General features: G+C 46.3%; 4 annotated features.

Moving 5' to 3' along the window:
• Positions 518–1,717: an enhancer, noted in NCBI's record as "MED14-independent group 3 enhancer chr2:121426571-121427770 (GRCh37/hg19 assembly coordinates)". NCBI's record gives its function as "activates an origin of replication core promoter dependent on BRD2, BRD4, P300/CBP and CDK7 cofactors, and independent of MED14, by STARR-seq in HCT116 cells {active_cell/tissue: HCT116}" and the evidence as "EXISTENCE:reporter gene assay evidence [ECO:0000049][PMID:35650434]".
• Positions 805–1,099: a silencer, noted in NCBI's record as "tiled region #7764; HepG2 Repressive non-DNase unmatched - State 4:PromP". NCBI's record gives its function as "represses a minimal TATA promoter and a strong SV40 promoter by Sharpr-MPRA in HepG2 cells {active_cell/tissue: HepG2}" and the evidence as "EXISTENCE:reporter gene assay evidence [ECO:0000049][PMID:27701403]".
• Positions 866–1,367: an enhancer, noted in NCBI's record as "H3K4me1 hESC enhancer chr2:121426921-121427422 (GRCh37/hg19 assembly coordinates)". NCBI's record gives its function as "activates a minimal SCP1, AML or CMV promoter by ChIP-STARR-seq in naive H9 embryonic stem cells {active_cell/tissue: H9 hESC(naive)}" and the evidence as "EXISTENCE:reporter gene assay evidence [ECO:0000049][PMID:30033119]".
• Positions 8,331–9,279: an enhancer, noted in NCBI's record as "H3K4me1 hESC enhancer chr2:121419009-121419957 (GRCh37/hg19 assembly coordinates)". NCBI's record gives its function as "activates a minimal SCP1, AML or CMV promoter by ChIP-STARR-seq in primed H9 embryonic stem cells {active_cell/tissue: H9 hESC(primed)}" and the evidence as "EXISTENCE:reporter gene assay evidence [ECO:0000049][PMID:30033119]".

Genomic DNA, 10,361 nt, shown 5'->3' with positions numbered 1-10,361 from the left:
CAGGGAAACCAAGCAATGGCCCCGAGGTAGTGAGGAGTCTCTGGAGGCCAGATACCCTCAAGATGGAAAAGGAACATCCTTGGAGGATTGGGGTGGCTTCTTCCTGGAGGGAGGAGGGACACATGCCGGGATGACAGCCAGCTCTGCCGCTGACCAGCTGTGTGACCTTGTGAAAGTCACTTGATCTCTCGGCGCATCAATTTCCTCATTGTTGCCTGGGCCTCTTGTGAGATCTTCCTCATGGCTTGCAGTGAGGATTGAATGAGTCGATCTGTGCCCCGTGGCCCGGGACATGGTGAGCATGTGGTAATGGCAGCCGTTTTATCCTGTAGTGTAATAACGGTGTGCAGCTAGACGTCACTCTGGGCACCTTTTCTCACAGAACTGTCACTGCCGTGCTGCAGGATGCGGATGGTTGTCTTCACTCTCCAGATGAGGAAACTGAGGCTCAAGGAAGGGCGGAGCTGCCTGAGGCTTGACAACTCTGCAGTCTGCAGCTGTGAGAGGGGGCTCTTTCTAGCCACACAGCTTTCCCTGGTTCTCGTGCGCTCTGTGAGCAGGAGGACGGGAAGGGCCGCAGCCGCTGAGGGAGCAGGAGGGGTTCGATGCAAGCCCAGCTCCCAGCACGGGAAAGCCAGGTCAAGAAACACACGGCCTCTGCTGTGGGGCTGATCACAGCTTTGTCAAAGAGGAGATGTGGGAGGGGGGAGGTGAAGGGAGCAGGAAGAAATGAATGTCAGAAACATAAATAGCCCTGGAACTGATGGACAGTCTGAGATCTCTGCGCAGACCTGGGCGCCTGCAGGCTGCCACTCAAACCTGAGCAGAAGGGTGAACCCGCCCTCACCCCACTCCCGGTTCCCTACACGCCCCAGGAAAGGGCTGTTGTGAGCGGAAGGCATTCGTCGAAAACTGGGAAGGTTGCCCAAGAAAGGCAGAGCGGGAAGCCCTCCGTGGGCAGCAGAACCGGGTGAGTCAGCCCGTCGGAGGGTCCCCCATGTGGCAGGAAGGGGAGGCACAGGGACTGGGCTCGGCCACCTGGAAACACAGGCGGCAACAGCTGCTCATGCATGAAAGGTGACAGCTAAGTGTCATCAGCCTGGGAGTGCCAGGATAACGTCACCAGGGCGAGGTGGGCCGCGGGGGTGCAACAGAGGCCCCCTAACTTCCCAGGGGAAAAAGCTCACCACTGTCAGGGACATGAAAGGACTGTCAAAGAGCCATGAAACCAGCTACGGGGATTGGGAAACTTCAGACTCACTTCTGTTTGTTTTGTGACAACATGGAAGCCACAGATGTTCTCTCAAGGTAAAAAGAACCACCAGGGACCTCTCTTGGTGTGACCTTCATCACCTCCTCTGTGTCACCTGTCCCCGCCTCCTGCTTCTCCCCCAGCACATTCCAATAGGGCCACACCCATGCCTGGAGTTTGTGGCAGGAATCACAGGAGGGGAGGGGCCGATGGTGGATCTCAGGGTGGGGGCAGCAGGTGCCATGTGTCAGGAATCAAGGCTCAGATGAAAAGTTATATCACGGCAAAGGCATGTGGCTGCTGAGGACCAGAGCCTAAGGACTGGTCAGTTACCAGCTGTCAAAGGCAGGCCAGAGGCCAAGGAAGAGTGACCAAGAGTACCTTGAGCTAGGAGCTGCGAGCAAGAGGAGGGAAGGGAGGGTGCACATTTGGAGGACTACCTCTGAACCAGGTGCCATGCCTGAGGTTCCTTTCCATGGTTCCATTAGTAGTTCCTCCTCCTGATCTTGGGAGATGAACATTATTATCTTGATCTTGCAGGTGAAGAAACTGAGTCTCAGAGAATCTCAGTAACTCACTAAAAGTCCCACAGCTTCTAAGTGACAGGGTCTGTGTGACAACACAGTGAGAAGTCGGGCTACAGCAGGGACTGGCCAAGGGTAGGTAGTCATGGGAGGATGGTCTGTGTCTTGAGAACAGACTCAAATGATGGGCTTCTCTCTGGAAAGGAGGGGCATGCCTGAGGTCAAGAATTAGGAAGTCATTTTATCAGAGAAATATGGAATCCATCATTTCTAGACCAGGGATTCCCAAAGAGGTACTGATGAGAACTAATTATGGCCAGTAAATAACAAAGCACTATTTTAGAGAGTGCATGACCCATTTTGGAGCTCACTACTCTAGAAAATGGTACACGCTGGAAATCAGAGAAAGGTTTCCAAATAAATCTGTGATAGGAGATACCAGAGAGACCATGAAATGTCCATGGCATGGAGAGATTCTGAATGGGAGGCACAAGGAGGCTGATCAAGGCTTGGCAGGCTGGGCTGCCCAATAGGAAGAGACAGGCTTTCAGGAAGAGGTGGGTTCCCTTTTGAAAAGGACAGCAAGTTTTTCTGCTTGACAGTATCCATCTCCCTCATCTGGTGTAAGCACTTCTTCTTCCTTAGGGACTATCCCTCCTCAACTCTCAGACTGCGTGGCTCTATAAGATTGACCCTGCCCCCTGGCTCCAAAGAAGCAACATGACTCAGGCATGGCCAGGGAGAGTGACCATGTTGAGTTTAAGGAAATCTAGTCAGAAAGAATTAGCCCCAGGGCTGTAGTGGGAACCTCTAGGAAAGGAACTTTCTGGGCCAGGTTTGCTCATCGATGGAGCTGTTGGGGAGCAGTCATCTTGGTGTATGTGCAGGCAGGTATGTAAGGGGACAGGGTGTAGGGGGGGACCTCATGAATCAAATAAAACTTCCCTAGCATCTGTTGTTCTTTCCTCTTCCAATGGCCCATTTGGTGATCCCACTCCTCCATACCAAGCAGACTGATGGGGCTCCACCACAGGTAAGGCCAACTAGCATATCTCATTCCCATGACTACAGTCATTGGTGCAGAGATGGGCATGTGATCTAAACTACACTAAACAGAGTTGATCTCAGGATGTTTAAAGGAACTATTAGAAAGAAGATTCTCAGCCCGGTGCGGTGGCTCATGCCTGTAATCCCAGCACTTTGGGAGGCCGAGGGGGGCGGATCACAAGGTCAGGAGATCGAGACCATCCTGACTAACAGAGTGAAACCCCATTTTTACTAAAAATGCAAAAAAAAAAAAAAATTAGCCGGGCATGGTGGCGGATGCCTGTAGTCCCAGCTACTCAGGAGGCTGAGGCAGGAGAATGGTGTGAACCCGAGAGGTGGAGCTTGCAGTGAGCCGAGATCGTGCCACTGCACTCCAGACTGGGCGACAGAGCGAGGCTCCATCTCAAAAAAAAAAAAAAAAGAAAAAAAGGAAAAAAAAAGAAAGAAGATTCTCTTGCTGGCCATATTTGAACCTGGGAGGATGGCGGAATCTCTGCTTCTGCAGCTGTTTTGTCACCATGAGGAGTCATCTATCTGAGAACAGAGCCAGCACAGAAGAAGTGGATCCAGGAGGTCGAGAAACAGAGAAATTAGGCCCTGGGTTTTGGTCCTGAATCAAATGGACTAACTGTAACTACAACTCTGGACTTTTCGGTCATTAAGACAATTAATTCACCTTTTCTTAGGTCTGTTTATGTGGGCTTTTCTGTTCCTTACAATTAAAACAATCTTGAATAGAGTCAACAAAAAGAGGACTCTTATTCCAAGAACTAGAAATGATTGAACAATCTAGAATTTAACAATGAAAAAGAGAAATCATAAAATAAATATGATTAAAACATTAAAAAGATAAACTAAGAAAAGAATCATAAAAGACAAACGTGAACAATAATCAGATTTCAAGAAACAAACAAAAAAAATAACATTAACAACTCAATAGATCAGTTAAAGAGATGGTTTAGTATAGCCGAAGACAGAAGTGGGGAGTTGGTTGGTAGATTTGAAAAAAACTGCAAAACACAAAGTTAAGGAAAATGTGGCAGTGATGTGAAGAGACTGGTGGACAGAGTGAGATGGTTCAGATGCATATTCTCTCCAGAATGAGGGAGTAGGGGAAAAAGGTCAAATAAGCACATCAAGTTCCAAGCAGGTGAAATATAAACAACACATAGACACGTCATTATAAAACTGCAAACACAGCAGACAGAGCGAATGAAGAGACAGACCGATGAAAAAGGAATGATAATTAAGCTGACAGCAGACCTCTCAGCAGCAACAACTGATGCCAGGAGACAATGGGATAAGATCATCACAGAACTAAAGATTTGACTGAAAAGCACTGATGTCCACTAAACAATCATTCAAGAATGAGGATGAAATAGACAGTTTTGAAACAAAGATTGAATGGATTTATACTCATAACCTCTCACTGGAGAATTAGAAAAGGATTTTCTTCAGTAAGAAGAAAGCTGAATCCAGAAAGAAGGAATATGATGAAGGTGGCAAAGTAAGCAAAGAAATGAGTCAGCATGTTGGTAAGTCTAAGTAAGCATTTATTGTTTTAAAAAATACCAATTTATGGGGACAGTTAAAAGTCAGGTGAAAGTGAAATGCTATGTGGGAATAACATGAAAAATGTTAAATGATTGATTAAAGTTGAATAATTGTAAAGCCCATTTATCACTTGGCTGCAGGATAGAGATGTTGATTAGCCTTAGATATGCATGCTAAAATGTAGGAGTTTGCACTACAGAATAGAAATAGAAGGTATAACTTTCAAACAAGTGGAACGGGGAAACAGAAAGGAACAAAGGGAACTTAATCAATACGATGAAGACAAAGAAAGAAAAAAAATGAGCAATGGAAAAGGACATATAAAGAAATCACAAAATTAGATGATGGAAATAATTCCAGATAAAATCTCCTAGAGTTCTCACGAATGCAGCCTCGTATCTCTTCCTTCATGCCTGTATCAGAGTTTTGGGCCCAATTTTTGCCTCTTTGTCTTCTCACCATTACTACAGGTCAGGCTCTCCAGGAGTGAAGCCTGTCCCATTCGTTTCTACGGCTCCCGCCCCATGTAGCACAGTGCCTGGCCCACAGTCTGGTTAGGTTTGTCTTTTAAAAAAACCTGCTTATTTATTTGAATTAAATTGAACAAAGGAAGCAAACAAAGAAATGGAAAACTAACATCTTAGTAAATCACTGCCATAGTAAAACAACATAAGAGAGGAAATTCAATGTTAAAAAATTCATTAAAAATTCAGTCTCACTGGAAATAAAAATAGGTGAATTAAAACTAAACATAAAATTGTACTGTTTTGCCTTTCAATCAATTTGTAAATGAAAATATGGAATGTTGGAGAGAGTAAAGAGGTCTTTGTAGGGGAGTGGTCACTGTAGGGTAGATTATAGATTGTTGCAAATTTTCTGGAAGGCAATTTTATTTCCAAGATTTTGTATTACTTGGGGTTGTTTTGGTTGCAAGTGACCACAAACGAATTCAAACTTGCTTAAGAGTTTTATTGTCCCAATAGTCAAAAAAGTTGTGTACGTGTGTGTGTGTGTCTGTGTGTGTGTGTGTGTGTGTGTGTAGTGGTGGTGGTGGTTGGTGGGGGGGCTATCATTGGCTTCAGGGCATGCCTTAATTGGATGATCTAATGAGAGCAGGACCCACTTTCTCTCTCTTTTATGGTGTCACCTTCCTCCCAAGGCTACTCTTTTATGCTCAGAAAATAGCTGCTGCAGTTCCAGACCTCACATTCCACTCCCCAGGGAAGATGATATCATCCCTTCCAAGTTCCCAGAAGCCCCCACAAAATGTTGCTTCTTGTCTCACTGGTGTTGTATGTGGCTAATCTCTGAACCATAATTGTCATGTAAAAGTGGCAATTAGGAACAAAAATTATGGGAAATAGAATGGGGAAAGCAAAGACAAAAGAACCCAGAAGCTTGAACTATTTGGAATGGATTAAATGGGAAGAGCACATACCTGGGAAAATTCTCAGCACTTCCCCCTTAGATAGGGCTCCTGCTCCATTCTCCCTCTTATCTTCTCAGATTCCAGGTAGAAGCCTTGTATCTTCTCCATATCTCATATATCTCTCATGCTTTTTTCTATTTGCCCCATCTCTTTGTTTCACTGGGCTTTTCTCTGCATATTTTCTTCTGATGTATTTTCCATTTCACCAATCTTCTCTGCAGCTATGACTAATTAGCTCTTATGTGCATCCATCAGATTTTTAATTTCCTTTTTTTATTTTAGGAGTTTTTATAGTTTCTATTCTCTGCTGAAAATTTAATATTGTCTTTCATTTCCTTGAGCATGTGCAACAGGAATTTAAAGCCTGCGTCTGCTAACTCCACTATCTGGATCTTCTGTGGGTCTGTTGTTTCTATTGGCTGTTTTTTCTCCTAGTTTTTGTTTATGTCATCTGATCTTTTCAAATGCCTCATTATTTTTGATGGCATGCCAGACACTGTATTTTAAACACTCTAGTTTAATTTGAACCCCTGGATGATGTTATAATTTTTAAGAGAGGATTTATGCTTGATTCTAGCAACCTACTAGGCTGGGGGGGGTCCCACAATTCTAGATCACCTGAATCCAATCTAATGTTGGGCTTCAGACTCAGTGAGAGTGGGAAATGTATTTGGTTCACTCTTATTCTTAGGGTATGGCCCTTTTGGGTTTCAACTGGAGGCCTACTATATTTACCAGTGGGCCCTGAATTCCAATATTTGTTCCAGATCCCTGTGAATCTGCTGAAAGCCCAAGTCAGCCTCTCATCTCTGTCCTCAGTTTCTTCAGGGGCTCCTGGACAAAAGCAACCACATGCAGGAAACAGCACCCTGGGCTTCTCTGCACTCCCAGATCTTGGAACTACAATTCCCCACTGCTTGGGAGTGCTCCAAAGCCTTCTCCACAGATGTTTACTTTCCATTTTTCTAGCTTTACTGGTGGTTCTCAGCGGGAGTCTGCTATCACTAGAGTAGAGGTCATAATGGACTTCAGGATCCAGTTAGATATGAGTTCAAATTTCACCTCTACCTTTCAATAACTGAGTAACTGGATGTTGTTCAAACTTTCTGAGCCCCAGTCGTCACTCCATAAGAAGGAGAAATGCCTGCTCTACAGGACTGATTCAAGATATAGAAATTGTATATGTGGCATGACCGGGTGCAGTGGCTCACACCTGTAATCCCAGCACTTTGGGAAGCCAAGGCAGGCAGATCACCTGAGGTCAGGAGTTTGAGACCAGCCTGACCAACATGATGAAACCTCATTTCTACTAAAAATACAAAAATTAGCAGGGCGTGGTGGCGGGTACCTGTAATCCCAGCTACTTGGGAGGCTGAGGCAGAAGAGTTGCTTGAACCTGGGAGGCGGAGGTTGCAGTGAGCCGAGATCGCGCCACTGTACTCTAGCCTGGGCGACAAGAGTAAGACTTCGTCTCAAAAAAAAAACAAAACAAAAAAAAAAAAAAGAAAAGAAATTGTATATGTGATACTCTTGAGAACGTTTGACAAGTGGCAGGTAGTCAAGACATTCACTTTGTTATTGTTGATGTTCTAATTAATTAGTCAGCCTGGCTCCTTCCTCAGAGCTTTGGTGTCTGAGATGGAACCTGGGGATTGTGTTTGTGTGAAGGTCCAGGAAGTTTCTAGGGGCAGTGTTAAGTGGCTGGGGCCTTTTTGCTTGCTGGGATGAAGTTGATGAAACCATGCTTCCTGGGCGAAGGTCACCTAGGGGTCACTGGGGCTTGTCTGGGCCTGGGGAGGTGGGCAATGATGGGCTGAGAGATAACTCAATTCATACTCACAGGAGGGACAACAGGTCCTGGGAACTCTGGCATATGAGGAAGCTGAAGCTGAGTGGAGGCTGAGAAGGGAAAATGAGTCAGGAGGTCACATACAGGGGCCCAGCCTGCATCGGAGACAGGCTGGGAGGCAGGAAATGGGCTGAGGTGGAGTTTTGGGACTGAAAGTGGCAGTGCAGGACACTGCGGGCCCCATGGCTTCCTTGGCCTGCACAGTTGGGGGCGAGATGAGGTGCTCTATATTCCCTCTGGTTCTGCTCCTTTGATGCCAAGGCTGTGATCCTAAAACCACTTGAATATTTATATTTTAATAGGATGATGTCAACACGGATGAACTCTCGTGAAGAAACTGTTTTTCAAACCAAATCCCATGCTAATTTAATCCTGGGTTTTTAGTACAGTACAATTACCCTTTCTGTTATGCTTTCTTTTGATATTTTATTGAAATGATTTTCATCAAGTAAGTTTTCTGTTTAATTTTTATAAGAAAATTTTGCAACTAGTTCATAGATTGGTTTTGCCCATTTATAATTTTACTGATTATAGCTTCTGCTATTGAGAGTGTGTATGTGAATGCATTGTGTGTGTGCATGAATGCGTGGTGTGTGCATGTGAGTTTAAGAGTGTTTGTGCATGAGTGTGTGTGTGTGTTAGCCATTATTTATGCCAAGTCCAATGTCCTTTGGTCACATTGTGCAGGTCTCAGCCTAATAAGATTCAATTGTTGGTCAATTGTACTTTTTCCTTTAAGTGCTGTTTTCAACATGGCCTTGACTTCCTTTGTGTGAATTATTTCTGTAGACAATTTTCCTTATTCTTTGTCTAAAAAGCAGAAAGAGTTCTTTGTTAATCTATCAGAACCATGTGAACAATTTTGTGAAATGGAGACAGAAGGGGAAGAGAAGGAGGTCCGGTCAGTGAGGAGAGGAAAATTCCAAAGGATTCATTCAGTACAATGCGGATCCAGACCCAGAAGCTGGGGAGTGGTTGAGCGGCGACCTGTGTGGACAGAGTTGCCAGCCTTGGGGTCTGCTGGGAGAGGGCCCCAAGGAAATAAAGACCCCAGTATCAATCTTCTCCTTTCCATCCCTGCGGGGGCTTCCCAGGGCCAAACCCAACGGGGAGGCTGAGGGCCAGGGCGCCTGCTGGTTCTGACCAGACAAGTCTGTGTCCTGGGGCAGAGAACAAGGTGGGTGGAGAGTGGCACTGAGCTGCAAACTGTGGATGCCTAGCACAGACCAGGAGCGAATTCTTTCCTGTGCCTGTCTCGCTCAGCACGCAGCGCATCTCCAGGCTCTGGCAGGGAGCCTTGGTCGCTGCAGAGCTGGCTTGGATCTGAGAAAGGCTTGTCCCATTGGGCTGTTTCCCAGTGGGCGTGGCTCGACCATCACGTTCTTCTTGGGAAGGTCAGGGGTAATGTATTCCTCCTCTCACAACTCAAGGCACAAAGCCGACTCGCGCTGCGGACCCCTCAGCGTTTCAGGTTTTGAATAATTCAGGCGGGAGTATGGCTGAAATTTATCTTTGCTGTATTTACACAGAAAGACCTTACAACGCTAGTCGATTGTGTAAACAGGGATAATTATAATATTTCAGAAGAAAGGGTTTAATATACCAAAGGAGGGGGGGATTTTCCAGCCCAGCAGTCAAACCCATTTCTGCATAATGAGAGAATTATTGGTTGTCCTTTTGGATAACAACTGCTCAGATGTGATCCCATACGATGAGGCAGATAGGATGTAGTCCTATTTGGTCAGTGCCCCAAGCAGCTGATACCCAGCCCTGGCTACCAGCCCAGCCGAGGTCAAAGGCAGGCTCTTTCCACACAGAGGGGCGGCAACAGGGAGAAGGCGCAGTCCGTGGAGCCAACATATCTGGGATGGAATCTGCATATCTTTTGGGGTCCTGTGATCGTGCTGAACCTCTGTTTCCCCACCTATGAAATGGGTGAGGCTTTCTCATGGGCTTCCTCTAAGGCATACCAAGATATTTTGGAGACAGCCCTGGAACACAGCAGGTCCTCTGCTCCTAACCCGCTCCCGGAAGGGTCACTGAAGGAGGGGCTGGGTGCTTCCTGAGGACACGCCCAGTTTCAAACCCTCCACCCCTGCCTGGCCCTGCCCCCAACCTGGAGGCCCGCCAAGGAACACCAGCTGGGAGGCACAGAGGTGGCCCACCCTGTTATTTGGCTCAGGCCTGACCCAGCTCCTCCCCGGCCTTGAAACCAGCCTCTGGGTTCTGTTTCTGTCACAACAAACTCTGACCCTCTGAATCACATGGGCAGAGTTGCTCATGGAAAGAGCATGGTGGGCTTGGGAACCAGACAAGCGTCGTTTCTAATCCCAGCTCAGCCACTTACCAACCAAATAGCAAGGTTTTTAACTTCTCCAAGACTCTGGATAAACGAGGTGGCCAAACGTACTTTGCAGGTGGGGTAAAGTGCCCTACACAGCACGTGGTCATTATAGTGACTGTGTTGTTGGTGGCTGTTATTATTGCTATTGTTTGTGTGTTATGTTTAGGCATTTTTTAAAGGCAGGGACTTGCTTTGTTGCCCAGGCTGGAGTGCAGTGACGCAATCTTGGCTCACTGTAGCCTGGATCTCCGGGTAGGGACTCAGGTGATTCTCCCACCTCAGAGATTCTCTCCTGAATAGCTGGGACCACAGGCACGCATCATCATGCCCAGCTAATTTTGTTTATTTTTCATAGAGATGGA

The sequence above is a fragment of the Homo sapiens genome, chromosome 2, assembly GCF_000001405.40.
Source record: "Homo sapiens chromosome 2, GRCh38.p14 Primary Assembly".
In the NCBI taxonomy this organism is placed as follows: domain Eukaryota; kingdom Metazoa; phylum Chordata; class Mammalia; order Primates; family Hominidae; genus Homo; species Homo sapiens.
Note: the sequence above shows the minus strand (reverse complement) of the source record. Positions and strands in the feature narration are given on the sequence as shown.